The sequence below is a fragment of the Homo sapiens genome, chromosome 7 (assembly GCF_000001405.40).
Source record: "Homo sapiens chromosome 7, GRCh38.p14 Primary Assembly".
NCBI classification, from domain to species: domain Eukaryota; kingdom Metazoa; phylum Chordata; class Mammalia; order Primates; family Hominidae; genus Homo; species Homo sapiens.
In genome coordinates, this window is record NC_000007.14 from 45,097,700 (window position 1) to 45,113,287 (window position 15,588).

Consider the following 15,588-nt stretch of genomic DNA (forward strand, 5'->3'; position numbering starts at 1 on the left):
ACAAGGAGCAGGCATGTCACATGACGAGAGAGGGCAGAACAGATAGGGCAGGAGTTCCCAACAACCAGCTTTCAAGTGAACTAATATAGAGCAAGAACTCACTCATTACAAGGATGGCACCAAGCCATTTATGACAGATGTTCCTATGATCCAAACACTTCCTAACAGGCCCCATTCTCCAACACTGGTGATCCTATTTCATGAGATTTGGAGGGGACAAAATATCCAAACTGTATCAGTTCATATTATCCAGAAGGTGGAAACAATCCACATGTCCATCAATGGATGAATGGATAAACAAAATGTGGCACAAACTATAATGGAATATTATTCAGCCAAATAAAGGAATGAATACTCATACATGCGACATGAATGAAACATGAAAACAATATGCTAAGTAAATGAAGCCAGTCACAAAACACCAAAATATCACATCAGTATATGAGGCTTAGAAAATGTGCAAATTGTGGTGATGGTTGCATGTATCTGCAAAGAGACTAAAAACCACTGAATTATACATTTTTGTTTTCGAGATGGGGTCTCACTCTGTCGCCCAGGCTGGACTGCAGTGGTGCTATCATGGTTCACTGCAGGCTTGACTTCCCAGGCTTAAGTGATCCTCCTACCTCAGCCTCCTGGGTTGCTGGGACGACAGGTGCGTGCCACTGCGGCTAATTCTTGTATTTTAAAAAATAGAGACAGGGTTTTGCCTGTTGCCCAGGGTGGTCTTGAACTCCTGGGCTCAAGATCTGAGGGCCTTGGCCTCCCAAACTGCTGGGATTACAGACGTGAGCCACCACACCTGGCCTAATTATACATTTTAAATGGGTGAAGTGTATGGCATGTGAATTATATTTTAATGAAGTGGTCATAAATAACAAAATAAAAAGCATATTGATTTGAAAGGATAAATACATTCCTGTTTTCAGGACATAAATATCTACATAGGAAATCCAAAGGAATTTTAAAAATGCATAAAGTTTAGCAAGATCACATAAAAATCAATCCCATTTCTATATGCTAACAATCAATGTGTGAATGCCAAAATTAAGCACTACACCACTTACAATTGCTCCAAAATCATGACTTAGGGGTGTGTGTGTATATACGTGTATATATACATATATACACACATATATACTTATATACACATGTACATATATATACACACACACACACACACATATATATTTTTTGAGACAGAGTCTTGCTCTGTTACCCAGGCTGGAGTGCAGTGGCACAATCTTAACTCACTGCAGCCTCCACCTCCCGGGTTCAAGTGATTCACCTGCCTCAGCCTCCTGAGTAGCTGGGATTACAGGTGCCTGTCATCATGCCCGACTAATTTTTATATTTTTAGTAGAGACAGGGTTTCACAATGTTGGCCAGGTTGGTCTTGAATTCCTGGCCTCAGGCGATTCGCCCGCCCCAGCCTCCCTAAGTGCTGGGATTACAGGCGTGATCCCACCACACCTGGCCGACTTAGGTAATATAAAACAAAAACTACAGGCTGGGTGTGCCTGATGGTGCCCAGTGAAGCCAGCACAAACTACCCCAATGCTTGGGTGAGTGGCCAAGCATCAGAGCAGTGACTAGACTTTTTCTTTTTGGGGAAACAGCCTAGGGTTGGGAGCCTACAGTGCTGAGGGCTGTGGGCCTCTCCATCTCAGCTCCACCCCACTGTCCTACTCTCTGTTCTGTATGGCTGGAGGCAACCCAGTTCCCTGACTGCTATTTAGTCAGGTTCTGCCAATAGGTGTCTCTAAGGAGAGGCTGGAAGGTAGAAAGCTTGTTGCCTCCCAGCACCTGGTAATCCCCGCAGCAGCAGGGAGGCTGCCAGGGTCCTGTTTGGGCAGCCAGTTCCTAGATGACAGCACAAGGCTCTGGTCAGGGTGGTGAAGACAACGATGGAGTTTGGCTCTTGGTGCCGTGGTGTCAGCCAAGTGGGATCTTCTCCTCTCCCAGAGCCAGCGCCTCCCAAGTGCTCACCCAGCCCTCACATCACCTGTCACCACATGCTGTCAGGGTGCCTTTCACTCAGCTAAGTGTGAGACAACTGATGGGAGAAAGCCTCCCAGGATGGCTGTGGTTCAGTAGCCACAGCTCCATCAGAACCCCCAGCCATGCACTGAATCTCCAATCAGCTTCCCTGGGAAGCTCCTCTGCTCTGGAGGTTCAGAATTCTAGGACTCCACCTGCCTGCTGGGGCTGATACAGACCCCTACGCAAGAGGCCGGCATATGTGAATAAGCACTCATGGAGGGAAGAAGCTGGGAGAGACAGGCAGGTAACAACCCAGGTCTGTCCCTAAAGCAGCCCTCTTGGGCTGGGCGTGGCGGGGGAGTGCACAGGGCAGACTGGAGAACCACGCCCTGCTCAACAAAGCAGACAGACAAGTGCTGACAGTGCAGAGGGTGACCAAGCCTGGGAAGGCCCCAGGGGTCCAACACCAAAATTAAAGGTTTATTATACACAAGAGGACGTTCTGTCCCTCAGAGTGGCTGGCCACCCTCCCCACTCTGGCCAAGGTCCTGCACAGAGGTTTGTCCTCAAGGGTGACCCTTCTTGGCCGCCCACAGCTAGACCTCCGGCGGAGAGGCACGCAGTCCATGCTGCTGGCACAAGTCACTTGGCCAGCTCCTCAGCCACCGCTTTGCGCATCTTGTCCTTGAGGTAGGCGCCTTTCTGCCATTCAGACTTGAGTTCCAGCCACTCATAGAATGGGACCTAGAAGGAGGCAGGGGAGACAGGTCACATGGGCAAGGAGATCCCTTCCAGCCAGTGGCTCTGCCTGCTTGCCTGCTGTCCTCACATTGACCCCTCACCCAACACCTCTGCTGACCAACAGCTCTGCACACCTGCCCCTTGGCCTCCAAGTCTTCAAGGCAGAGCCCATGAACTGCAGGCAGTGCGGGCGGGGAGAGGTGCTAGCACTGTCAGTGCTGGAGGGGTCTGCAAACTACTCGGAGGCCCAAGAAGGGCTTCTGAATTTTAAACAGTTAAAAAACTCACAACAACCCAAAGAAGCAAACAGAACCCTTGTGTGGCTCATGAAGCCACATGTTCATTCACTGGCCCTTCCCAGGGAAGGTGACCACCTTTGATCTTAACCAAGGTCTCCCAGGTGTGAAACCAGAGTCAGGCCCAAGACCTGCATCTTTCTGCTCCTGCCAGTTCCACTGGTCCTACTTTTCCTGACAACAGGCGCTGACCAAGGGGGCAGAGCAGCTGCACTCAGAGCCCCAACAGCTGTGCAGCCTCTTGGGCTTCAAGCTGCTCATCTGTGAATGGGCCCTACCCTGCCCACCTCTTAAGCTGAATAAGCAGGCTTGGTTGCCTTTTTGGGTTCACCCACGGGGTGAGATGCTGGGAAGGTTAGAGGGGAGGCTGGAGCAGCTAGGATCCACAGTAAACTCCCTCCCTGGGCTCCTGGGAGAGGCCCGGGGCCACGGGCAGGGCATGTGTCTATACCTGCTGGCTCAGTTCCACCTGATCCCCTCTCTAGCGTGGGTTGGGGATTCTCCCTGTGCAGTGACCACCTGCCCAAGAGGTACTCACGTCCACTATCAGGAAGCCTGCAGCCACTATGTGTCGCCGGGCCAGAACAAAGCGACCCAGCAAGTCCTTGCTTCGGCTGTTGAAGTTGGGGAACTCCCACCGCAAGAACGCTAGCCTGGAAGGAAGAAGAGGTGGCTGACATGCTTCCACTCTCCCAGCCCCTCGGAGGGGAAAGATGGAAAGCAAAGAATATGCAGTCCAACAGCCATGGTGCCCCCATGGCCAACAGGTCCCTGGCCACCTACCTCTTAGACCCTGGAGGTGGTGACTGGCTCCCAGTTGGCTGGGCAAGGTGAGGTGCCACAAAGTCCCTTACGGGCAGAAACTCGCCGTCACTGTCCAGCAGCACCTCAGCATCTGGGGAAGGGGTGTGGGATGAGAACATGTTGGGGGACATCCCTCAGAAACCCCCCCACAGGAAAGATGAACAAAGATGGGACTGTGGGGAGCCCAGGCTGACACCCTGCAGCTCCCTAGGTCAGTACTTGCTGCAGACGGGGTGGGTTAGAAGAGTCCCGTTAGACTCAGGCAATGCCAGGCCCTGTGCCAACCAGGGGGAGCCCTCACCCAGCACCCAGCCATACTGCGTGGCCACCTCGAGGCTGCCCTTGTCGGCGCTCCCCAGCAGCCCCTTCAGCGTCTCCTGCAGCTCCTTTTGCAGGGGGGTCACCTTCCTGTCAAGGGCTGAGGGCCCAGGGGCCACAGCCGAGGCAGGCAGAAGGGGACCCGAGTACTCGGGGTACTCCAGCAGGGCAGTGGCGTTGATGTGGAGCAGCTTCTGGAAGGTGTTCTGATCCTTCTGAGACTTGCCCCCTAGGAGACAAGGAGAAAGAAGAGGGAGGTGGGCCTACGGCCAGAGATGGGGAGACCCTGATGAGAGGGCAGTGCACCCCTACACCCAGTCCCAGCCCAGTTTTCTGGGTCAGGAGGCAGCAGAGTTACGGTCTGCTGGCCACCTACAGGGAGAGGATGGAGAGCGAGGGGGAGGGAGAGCCCTGGCCTCCATCTGCCCCAAATTCTCACCTGGCACTAGGCAGACAAGACCAGGCAGTTTCCCAGTTCCAGTAGTACTAGGGGCAGGGGGCTCACCTAGAAATTGGATGTGAAATTCAGGGTGGAGGACGGCTTGCAGCTCTGCTTCCCGTGCCTGCTGCAGCACACACAGGGCCCACACCAGGTCCACCTGCAGGGCTGGCTCCAGGCCTGGCAGCTCTGACCCCAGCTTCTCATGTACCTGGGCAAGGATAGAGTGTGGTGGAGAAAGCAGGCTCTCCTTAGGGGCTGCAAATAGCCATGGGTGAGACACAATCCATGATGTGGTCTTGGCCTGGTTGGGATGAGGCCAGAGGAGGCTACTAGGTAACAAGAGGCAGAACCCTGGCCCTTGGTGAGGCCTGGAGCAATCCTGGGCTTGAAGGTACCAGGAATCTTCCTCATGCCCCAAGACCACTCTGAACAGCAGAAGAGTGCTGCTGAATGCTGGCATTTGATTAGGTTTACTACAACCAACCTACTGGCAGGGAACAAGATCCCTTCTCCCATAATGTCTCCAAGTGAGCACCTGGGACAAGGAAGGAGGAATCTCTGGTCCTCTGAGAGATGAGAGCATCCAAGAGGTGAAGCAGCACTCCCCAGCCCCTGGCTAATTGTTCTCAGGACTGTGCCAGACAAACCCCTGATGGAATCCCAGGGAGCCTGGGATCACACCTGGCCTGCTGGCCTCTGTGGCTGTCCTAAGGTCTTCATAAAGAAGGCTCCCCCTCCTGCCCTGAGCTGGTGCACATAGCACGAAGGCCCACTGGAGCTTCTGAGCATCAACAGGGCATTAAAAGGAGCACCAGAGGCAGGACCCCCCAGCGCTGCCTGGCAGGGCAGTCAACCAGACAGCAGGATTTCATGTGTTCTCAGTAATCCCTAGGATGCCTGGCTCCAATCAGTTCCCCCTGCCCTCCCATGCCACACATAGTGGCCCCTCCCGCCTCCACCTAGCCCGAGCTGATCTTGGGAGGACGGTTCATGAGCCATTAGCTGAAGGGGAGGATAAAGGTCGAGCAGTGGGAGCCCAGAGGCCCTACCAGGCTGAAGAACTGATCCTCTTGGTCTGGATGGAAGTTCAGACGCGCAAAAGCCAGAAGTACGCTGCACAGGTGGGGCAGGGTGATGTCCTGCGCTCTGTTCAGGACGTGCTGGGTGGGTCAGAAATAGCAGAGGGACAGAATAAGCTCTCTGCCCAGCACGCTGTCCTCCTGCCTGGCTCTGAGTCTGAGGAGAGCCTGCATGGCCAGGGGCAATGGCAGGACCCTCCATCCAGGGCCCATGAGCTGTGTCGGGAACAGAGAAGGACTTACACAGGCCCAGACACTCCTTCGCCTGGCAGCAACTACCCACAGAGGCTGGGGACACCTAGAAGCTGCTTCTTTCTGATAAGGGATTTAGAAATATTCTCCAACCAGTAAACTTAGTTTAGACTGGTCACACATAAACGTAACTGCAGGTGTCATCTTTCTGTACAGTTCCACTTTGCGAGGGGGATCAGTGATTCAGTAGACAGTTCTCAGTGGATTCTCAGTCTCATCAGCCATGCTGCTACCTGCTACAGCTACCCCAAAATGGATGGAAGCACTTATAATGGTCAGTGAAAGAACAGAGGAAACAGTTCTCAAACACTTTTTTGAGAACTGAATAGCAGCCCTTTCAAAATAAGCCAAAATGCAAGAAATATGTATTTGCCCCCACAAGTGAGCATTTTCAGACTGGCTTTACTTTCCCGACTAAGGCAATGGTTCCCAGCAGATGGCCAGGAAGCCAGCTTCTCTGAGTTGGGGCCAGGCCCTGGCTCACCTGGGCAAAGGCCTCAAACAGGGGCAGGCTGAGCCACTTGAGTAAGGCGAAGGACTTGGCACAGTGGGCCACCTCACCAGAAGTCAGGCTGGGCATGAGGGATAGCAGGTCGGTGGCCAGGCGCTGGGACACCTGGGTCTGGTGAAAGCTGAGTTTGCCTTCAGGACAGAGCAGATCACAGGGTTTAGCTGGAGAGAGTCAGCAATCACCCAGCAGCTCCACCCCACCTCAGCCTCGAGGTCTAGATATTTGATGTCTGTAACCAAATTTATCCCTGAGCCTGGGACACAGGAACAGGGCCCATGAGTCACAGTGTTTCTGTGGCAGCCTTCTGGGCCAGTGCCTACCATGCATAGGACAGGTACTGAATTTGACACGGCTGCAGGCATCTGCAGGGCCAGCGCTCCCCTCTCTCCACCGTTCTGTCCAAAGGGCTCACCATAGGCATAGGCCACGTCCAAGAGCACATCTTTCGTCAGAGAGAAGGGCTTCTGCACCAGGTGGTAGGAGATGGCCCGCAGCAAGGGCACGGACCGCCGGCTCTGAGCTGCCAGCATCACCAGCACCTTCCGCAGCTCATTGGGGCCAAAGTGCTCCACCAACTCCAGGCACTGTCAACCACAGCCGCGCAGAGGTCAGCTCAATGGCCTGGGGTGGCAGAGATGAGCTGGGGGCAGGGGTCCCATGGTCCCATCCAGTGCAGCCCCTGTGACAGCCCCTGTCAGACTGGGCCTGAGCTGACTAAACACAGGACCACTGTGCAGGGCCTGCCTCCTCATCCACCCCAGGGAACCCCTGGACCTGGAGCACTGTCCACAGCCAAACTTATCCCCAGGTCCCAGGGTAGGTGACCCAGGGCCCATGAGCTGTGGAGCTTGCTGTGGCAGCCATCTGGGCCAGCCCCCGCTATGACAGAAACGGGCACTGAATTTGACTTGACTGCAGGGCTACAGCCGATAGGGGTTAGCACATCTCCAGGAGAGTTCTAGCCAGAAGCCAGGCCTGGGCAGTAGCTGTGTTACTTCAGGAGCTGCCTGCCATGCCCCCCTCTCAAGATCGTGCTGTGATGGGGTTTGGGGGAAAGATAAAGGTGCAATCAGGGAAGCGCCTGTGTTGGGAGGAGCAAGTGGTGCTTGATGAATGCAGCCACAGGGCAACCACCTGTTGCAGCTCCGAGCCCTCTGGTCCTGCCCCATGTGATGCCTGAGGCTCCAGACAGAAGCTCCCAGGGCTCTGATCCCAGTGCACACAACGCACCCCTCTGCAGACAACTGTCACCCAAAGAACAAGCCCAAAGCCCAGGGGAGGCAGGCTGGGTGCCACCTGCTTTCAGGCCCAGTACCTTGTCTTCCAGGCGGTTCATTAGTGGCTCCGAGAGGTGTCCCACCTTCATCATGACGGTCACTAATGTGTGGGAATCTTCAATTTCTGTCCAACGCCTTTCCAGGTGTGTGAGCAGCTCAGCCAGCAGCTCCTGCGAGTGCTGCTCCTGTGAGAGGGTGGCACAGGACTCTGCCAGGAAGGCCAGGTGCTTGTACTTGAGCTTCCGCATGCGCCAGCGGACCTCCTGCTCCACCGACTGCAGCTCCTTGGAGGCCTTGGGGATGCCCAGAGCATACAGGCTTCCCAGCAGCTTCGAGAGGGTACCATGCCAGACCGAGGCAATCTAGGCAGAGAAAGGACACAGGAGAAATGATGTGGCACTGTCAGTCCTGTGTGTGAGCTGGAGGCTACCTCTCTGAACCTTGTTTCATGAGCATTTACTACAACTCTTCAGAGAAGACAGTATCAGTTCCCCACTCCATTGTAACAGGGCCCCAGTGCCTGGCTGCTCCTCACAGCCTTGCTCAGCCTCGAGGCCTAGACGCTTGGTGTCTGTAACCAAATTTATCCCTGAGCCTGGGACACAGTAACAGGGCCTGTGAGTCACTGTTTCTGTGGCAGTCTTCTGGGCCAGTGCCTACCATAGACAGGGCAGGCACTGAATTTGACATGGCTGCCAAGCACCTGCAGAGCCAGAGCACCCCTCAGGCACAGGCCAGATCCAAGGGTACACCTCTGAGCCTGATCCTCTAGGCTACAATAAATAGCACATTTCTGCTCAAGGTGGCTGAGGTCATTTGCAATTGCTTGCAAGCAAGAACTCTAGAGTGGCAAGGGAAATTCTCCAAGTTTCCCCAATGAAGTTTTGACCTAATGTAGTTGATTAAAGAGAGACCACACTCTTTTACATGGTCCTGGCTACAGCTCTGGGTAGTGGGCACGTAGACTTCAGCTGCAAGTAAAGCTGTCAAATCAATACAAGAGGTCAGAGAAAAAGTTGAGCCTGATGGATGTCACCTGATGGCAGAGAAGGTGGCACTTACGCTTGCTAAGATCAGTTTTGTTATCATTCGTGACTTTTACTTGCAACGACATTAAAAGTTTTAGGTATTAAAAACTTGGGCCAGGCAGATCACCTGAGGTCAGGAGTTCGAGACTAGCCTGGTGAACGTGGTGAAACCCTGTGCCTATTAAAATTACAAAAATTAGCCAGGTGTGGTGGCACATGCCTGTAGTCCCACCTACTTGGGAGGCTGAGGTGGGAAGATCACTTGAACCTGGAAGGTGGAGGCTGCAGTGAGCTGAGATTGTGCCACTGCACTCCAGCCTGGGTGACAGAGTGAGACTCTGTCTCAAACAACAAAACAAAACACACTGGCTTTTCTCCAGGAAAATAATTTGTTTTTGAGTCAGAGAAGCTCCAACCCCTAAACTGTTCTCTAACAAACCAATCTCGCAGTTTCTGGCAACGTGAAAGTTTCTTAGGAATGCAACTGCTGCAATAAGCAGGAGTCCCTGCAGTGCGTTAGGCAGTGAACCACCACCTTTACCCTCCAGGGACGCGGCACCCAAGCATGCCAGACCCTCAACTGCCTGCAAAGGGAGGAGCACCCCAGGCACAAAGGTTTGCAGGAACGCTTTTGACATATGGGTAAAAAGACCCCCGGTATCACTAAGCCCTGCCCACTCCCAAATGCAGAGGCCTCCTAGGGATGACCAAGCTGCTGCTGCTACCAGCAGCACCTCTGAACAGGCTCTTACTAAATGCCAGGCATCCTTCTGTGTGCGTACCCCCATGAGACACCAACATCCTATGAGAACCATCAGTCCCACTATACAGGTAAACGAAGGTGAACTTATTTCTACATAGTTCTGGGTCCGGAACCTGCACCACAGCCCGTCCTCTCTGCTGGTGCCTGCTTTGTTTCTGAAGAGGGTAACTGCTATTCAGGTACTGTGTCCACAGGGCCCACAGTGTCAACATGGGTGGCTCTAGAGCCCTTTGGCCCTGAATCCAGCCTTGCAGAAGAGAGCAGATGGTAAAACAAGTATGGCTCTGTCCTTTCCTGGGCCAAGTCTCTCAACACTGAACCCTCAGGTTCAGTCTCTGCGCTTATGAATGAGAAGCAGAAACCACACCTTCAAGGAAGTGAGCTGCGAACAGAGAAGCTGCTGTCTGAAGGGCTGGGGAGGAGGGAGAAAGTACTGGAGTAAATTCTAATCTTACAGAAGATCTGGGTGTCTACCTTCCGGTTTCATGGACAGCAGGAAAATCTTTGAAAAGAAAGCTGTTATTACATTACAGATACTTGCCTTATAATTTTGTTACAATGTTCAGTCTTGCATCATAAGACTTTCTTAAATCACATGTGAGTAAAAAGAGTCAATAAACAGCAATTAGAATTGTAGCCAAATAACAAGGGGGCCTAACTAAGTTCATTTTATGAATTATATCCCCAGCAAGAAATAATTATGTACTGTAACCCCAGTCCACACAACACAGGCATATATATACATCCTTAACTAGAACAAAAGTTCCATGAGACATTAGTGAATCCCCTTACTATATGTGATGAATTCTGGTATTTTTTATACTACTCTACCTCATTAAGAATCAGCTGGCCACATCCCACTACACTGATTTTATAACCTGCAGTTTGAAAAGCACTCAGTTAGTGCAACTCCTTCCTTGGATAGTGCCTTTCTCTTCATTACACCTGACAACTGGAAACATGGTTTCAGTGCCCCAGCACTTCCCTTCCAAAGCAGACCAGGGATTTAGGGCCAGTTCAGCCACAGCAGGAGTCTGTACTCCTTTTTTTGTACATGGAGCCCAGGGGAAGACTCTCTAAGAAGGGAGTCCCTCACAGTGAGCAGGAACTGGCTTCTGTAGTCTGAGTTCTGCCCTGCTCAGTGCCACACAAATGGGTCTTGTTGCTTCTCTCCATGGTCATCCTTGGAGGGTCTGAACATGGCTAGATCATGCCCACGTCTGTCTCAAGTTTCAAGGACCTTCCATCAGTCATGCTGCATCTCCTTTGGCTTCAAAAACAGTGCCTTGCCATCAGCCAGACACTGGCAGAGAGCAATACAAGTCAAGACTATATGGTGAGGGGGAAAGCACCCAAAGAACTGAGAAGAACCAGGCTCACTTCCCATGCTTCTATCACTATGCGTCTTGGCTGTCTGTAAGACGAGCATAGCAATATTTACCTAACAGGCCTCTTGTAAGGATAAACAAAGAGAAAGCACGATAAAGCACTTTGAAATTTATAAAAAAATAAAAAATATCACAAGAGATGCAAGGCCCCTGTCTATGCTTGGTAAGCACTGGCTGCTGTGGACCCCAGCATTTCTGGCTGTTTTCCTCTTGTCTATGCTCTCAGACCACACTCCGGCACCCACCTGACTGTTGAGCAGACAGAGAAGTTGATGAAAGTGGGCATCCTGTATGAGCAAGCCTTTATCTTCTGGCTTCTCAGACAGCAAGTGAGAGAGCCGGATAAGTACCATTGCTGCTTGATTGCTGTCCAAGTCGTGACTGCCACCAAGTAGCTCCAGGAGCTCCTCTGGCCTTGTGGCCTTCTTGATGAGGTGGTCCACCTGCTTCTCTATGTAGGGAGTAGATGCTCGTTCCTTCTCCACCGGCTCCATCAAGGAACCTGGGAGGTGGGAAATGGGTGAGGTGGCTGAGGAAGTCAGAGTCTTATGGGCTACCCAGGCAAGTCTCAGTCGGCCAACTGGAGCCATGGCAGGGGCCTGACGAGCAGCTTCTCTCAGGAGGCACGTGCATCGCTTTACCAGGTGAGCTGCCATGATGTCCTGGGTGGCAGAGAGACAAGACTCCTAGCAAGTGATTCCAAACCCTGAAGAGAAAAAGGAGAGAGAAGGGGCTACTACAGGGGCAGTTCCTGACTCACAAACTTGAGAAATGAAATAGTCAAAGCCACTCTATCTGTAAAATCAGACTAAGTCTTTCTTGACAATCCATAGGTATGTGATAGTATTTTCTAAAGCAAAAGTCTCACAGGATTTTTGTTTCAGTACAGAATGCCATCAAATATCAAAACTCAGGAACATTACAGCCTGGGTGGGAGGGTTTCCATCCTGCTTGTAATTTGAAATCACCTAGGATGTGGTTCAATAATTCAGATTCCCAGGTCCTGCCCAAGGCCTCCTAAATGATGGCATCTCTGCAGACACGACCTAGACAGCATTAATTTTTTTTTATTTTTTTATTTCAAGGGTAACCAGGATTAAAAATTACGGGCTTGGCCAGGCGTGGTGGCTCACGCCTGTAATCCCAGCACTTTGGGAGGCCTAGGCGGGTGGATCACTTGAGGTCAGGAGTTTGAGACCAGCCTGGCCAACATGGTGAAACCCCATCTTTACTAAAAATATAAAAATTAGCTGGGCATCATGGTGCACGCCTGTAATCCCAGCTACTTGGGAGGCTAAGGCACAAGAATTGCTTGAACCTGAGAGGCGGAGATTGCAGTGAGCTGAGATTGCACCACTGGACTCCAGCCTGGGTGAGAGACTCCATCTCAAAAAAAAAAAAAAAAAAAAATTCACATTCCCAAAGCCTCTGTGGATATATTTTAACACTGTAGACATAGGTGTGAGCCTCTCGAAACCAAGGTAGATTACATCACTAGCCTACTAAAACCCCCCCACCAAATTTCTAACAGCAAAAATTCTGAACCAATAATAAGAAGCACTTCATAACATGGCCCAGAATGATTTTCTCAGTCTTAGCTTTTTCTGCCTCCCAGCAACACAAGGCCCCATTTTAAACAGGCCTTGCACTTCCACTTCACCTTACAGGGCTTGTTATCTGGGTCTCCTCCTCCCCCTATAAGACCCTTTAAAATACATCTCATCCTTCCAAGGCCAAACTCAATGTTGCCATCTCCAGCAATGTGTTACATATAGCCTTGATGTTGCTTTTAACAATTCTATCGGCCAGGCGCAGTGGCTCACGCCTGTAATCCCAGTACTTTGGGAGGCTGAGGCGGGCAGATCACGAGGTCAGGAGATCGAGACCATCCTGGCTAACACGGTGAAACACCGTCTCTACTAAAAATACAAAAAAATTAGCCGGGCGTGGTGGCGGGCACCTGTAGTCCCAGCTACTAGGGAGGGTGAGGCAGAGCTTGAAGTGAGCCGAGATCGCGCCACTGCACTCCAGCCTGGGTGGCAGAGCGAGACTCTGTCACAAAAAAAAAAAAAAAGAAAAAAAATTCTATCAGCTAGTCTAGCTCCCTACGGTGATTACATGATCCAGGGAAGACATGCGACAAGGGCAAGATAAAACGTTCACCTAGGCCTCATTTCTGCCAAAGCAGAATGTACGTTTGATCTTTCTCCACTTCCTGGAACTTGGTATATGGCCAGCACATTTTCTTTTTATATGAGGGGATTAAAGCAGCTGTAAAAAGCTTAGTCTAACTCCACTTAAAGAAAAAAAAAAAGAGAGAGAGATCAGAGAGTCGGAGTATTTGCCCAAACGCAACATCTACCACTTCCTGAGCCTAAGCACAGTGTAGAAATCTTTCCGACTTATTTTTTTGAGACGGAGTCTCGCTCTGTCGCCCAGACTGGAGTGCAATGCTGCGATCTCGAGTCACTGCAACCTCAGCCTCCCGGATTCAAGCGATTCTCCTGCCTCAGCCTCCCAAATAGCTGGGACTACAGGCCCGCGCCACCACACCTGGCTAATTTTTGTATTTTTAGTAGAGACAGGGTTTCACCATGACCTCAAGTGATCCACCCGTCTCGGCCTCCCAAAGTGCTGGGATTACCGGAGTGAGCCACCGCGCCCGGCCGCCTTTCCAATTTTTTAAGAGCCCTAAGAGCAGTTTAGCCGAGTAAACGGAAGCCCAGGAGCCAGACTTGAGTTTAGGCAAACAGCAATCCAAAACTTTAGTTCTAAAATGCAGAGAGAAAACAACTTGCACTAAGTCACGAAAACTGGCTCGCTGGGGTCATGGACGGTCAACAGGGGCGGCGTCTTCCAGGCCTGGCCGCGCGGGCTAGAGAGGAAGCGTGCGCACTGGCAAGCCAGCACGGAACGAGCAGACGGCCAGGCCCACGGCATCCCACCGCGTCCCAGCCTGCTCCCCAGTTCCACCGCATCCCAGGACCTTCCCAGCCACGCCTGTGTTGTGCACTCGAAACCCACGATCAGCCGCCCCTTCTCCCCGTGCCACAAGACCTACGCAGCGAGCACCACCGCTGACCTCCATCCGCCGCCCTAACTGTCCCCGGAACCATGAGGTGCGCGGCGCGCTTCCCTACGTCACTCGGAGCGCCGGCGGAAACGAGACGAGCCTCGCCCCGCACGTCCGGAAGCCACGCCTCCAGCTTCCGGCCACACCTTTCGGCGGGTGACATCTTTGCTGAGGGCTCAAGCGGAGCGATAGGTCATGGGAAACTTAGAAAAGATAAAGAACCTAGGAAGAAAGGCTTCGGTTGCCCCCCGACCAGTACGCCATCCTCATACGGAGTGCGGGAGACGACCCTTTGTTGTCGGTGCTGTCACCCTATCCCTCCCTGCTTGCGTAGGCGTAGGAGAGTTCCTAGGGCGGTGGAAGACTGGGCTGGTGGAGTGGGATAGGCGACGTTGAGGCCTGTGGGGGCTGGGAGGACGAGTGAGTGGAGACTGGGGAACTCCAGAGCGCCCACTTGCAGCTGGATTTTTATGTGCAATTTTCCTGATTTTTAAATAGTGGTGTTTAATTACAAAGTAAAGTGCAGGATAGCCCAAACGAAATGTATCTGAGGTCTATATATGGACTTGATTAATTTTTACTTCCTGCACAGCCTTTTATTTTCTGTGGAGTTAATAATTACTTGGCTACGCACGGTGGCTCACGCCTGTAATCCCAGGCCTCGGTGGGCGGATCACTTGAGTTCAGGAGTTCGAGACCAGCTTGGCCAACATGGCGAAACCCCGTCTCTACTAAAAATACAAAAAAATTAGCCGGGCGTGGTAGGGCGCACCTGTAGTCCCAGCTACTAGGGAGGCTGAGGCATGAGAATCGCTTGAATCCGGGAGGTGGAGGTTGCAGTGAGCAGCGATCTTGCCACTGCACTCAGCCTGGTTGACAGAGCAAGACTCTGTCGCAAAAAACAAAACAAAAAACATAAAAATAAATAATTACGTTTGTTTGTGTTTGTAAACTAAAAATAAAATTGTAAGCCCCCCAAGCACTGAACGGACCTCCTCTTAGCCAAGGAGACCCCAGAGAAACCTTAAAAACTGAGTTCCCAGCCATTCTGGAAAGGGAGGTTGAACACCCCTTGTTAAAGTAGAGATCATAAGACTAACAGACTTTGTGGTAGTAAGATACCAAATTATAAACAAGACCTAAGGCCGTGCAAGGCAAGGGTTAAGTCAAGCTTGCAGACCATCAATCTTGCTGAAGAGGTCTTTTTTGACCCAGTGTATTGTGGCTGATTCTGGCATACTATCTTAAACATTCTTTTCTGCTGACTCCAAATTTTACACAGAGCCTCACTCTTTTAACCAGTTGCAAATTAAAAAATCTCTTGGTCAAGCTGGCTGAGGTGGGAGGATCACTTGAGGCCAAGAGTTCAAGACTAGCCTGGGCAACATAGGGAGACCCTATCTACCCCTACCAAGAGATCTATCTATCTATCTATCAATCAATCATATATCGTGTATATATCTATGTATTTGAGTCCACATATAACTTGTAAACCCCCCACATCAAGACATCCTGTCTTTTGGAGCCAAACCAGTGTATACCTTCCACACATTGATTTATGTCTTTGCCTGTAACCCCTGGCTCCCTGAAATGTATAAAACCAAACTATAATCTGACTGCCTCGGGAACACTT

General features: G+C 51.6%; 1 protein-coding gene and 3 non-coding genes across 7 annotated transcripts, besides 4 other annotated features; all 4 read right to left on the reverse strand.

Annotated features, from left to right (window-relative positions):
* Positions 1-2,400: 2,400 nt before the first annotated feature.
* TBRG4 (transforming growth factor beta regulator 4) lies at positions 2,401-13,998 on the reverse strand. Of its 4 annotated transcripts, none has more exons than NM_001261834.2 (11): positions 13,944-13,998; positions 11,128-11,544; positions 7,742-8,065; positions 6,839-7,010; positions 6,400-6,557; positions 5,634-5,744; positions 4,648-4,792; positions 4,126-4,371; positions 3,804-3,915; positions 3,559-3,673; positions 2,401-2,727 (listed from the first exon to the last, which is right to left on the reverse strand). In NM_001261834.2, the coding sequence occupies exons 1-11, from the start codon at positions 13,968-13,970 to the stop codon at positions 2,626-2,628; spliced, it is 1,929 nt and encodes a 642-aa protein (NP_001248763.1). In that variant the 5' UTR covers positions 13,971-13,998; the 3' UTR covers positions 2,401-2,625. The 4 variants fall into 4 exon arrangements, with proteins under 4 accessions (NP_001248763.1, NP_004740.2, NP_954573.1 ...); NM_004749.4 differs by having other exon boundaries at positions 11,128-11,588; NM_199122.3 differs by lacking the exons at positions 6,400-6,557; positions 6,839-7,010 and having other exon boundaries at positions 11,128-11,588; positions 13,965-13,998.
* Positions 5,864-6,031: a silencer, noted in NCBI's record as "fragment chr7:45143162-45143329 (GRCh37/hg19 assembly coordinates)". NCBI's record gives its function as "represses an EF-1alpha promoter that drives an FKBP-Casp9 reporter gene in an ReSE screen in K562 erythroleukemia cells {active_cell/tissue: K562}" and the evidence as "EXISTENCE:reporter gene assay evidence [ECO:0000049][PMID:32094911]".
* On the reverse strand, positions 6,650-6,783 carry SNORA5A (small nucleolar RNA, H/ACA box 5A). The gene has a single exon (NR_002919.1). It is a non-coding gene; the product is annotated as a small nucleolar RNA, H/ACA box 5A (small nucleolar RNA).
* SNORA5C (small nucleolar RNA, H/ACA box 5C) lies at positions 7,207-7,343 on the reverse strand. Its single transcript, NR_002991.1, has one exon. It is a non-coding gene; the product is annotated as a small nucleolar RNA, H/ACA box 5C (small nucleolar RNA).
* SNORA5B (small nucleolar RNA, H/ACA box 5B) lies at positions 8,269-8,400 on the reverse strand. Its single transcript, NR_002990.1, has one exon. It is a non-coding gene; the product is annotated as a small nucleolar RNA, H/ACA box 5B (small nucleolar RNA).
* Positions 13,697-14,406: an enhancer, noted in NCBI's record as "active region_25969". NCBI's record gives its function as "activates an Ori minimal core promoter by ATAC-STARR-seq in GM12878 lymphoblastoid cells {active_cell/tissue: GM12878}" and the evidence as "EXISTENCE:reporter gene assay evidence [ECO:0000049][PMID:35858748]".
* Positions 13,697-14,525: a biological region, named in NCBI's record as "NANOG-H3K27ac-H3K4me1 hESC enhancer GRCh37_chr7:45151068-45151823".
* Positions 13,770-14,525: an enhancer, noted in NCBI's record as "NANOG-H3K27ac-H3K4me1 hESC enhancer chr7:45151068-45151823 (GRCh37/hg19 assembly coordinates)". NCBI's record gives its function as "activates a minimal SCP1, AML or CMV promoter by ChIP-STARR-seq in naive H9 embryonic stem cells {active_cell/tissue: H9 hESC(naive)}" and the evidence as "EXISTENCE:reporter gene assay evidence [ECO:0000049][PMID:30033119]".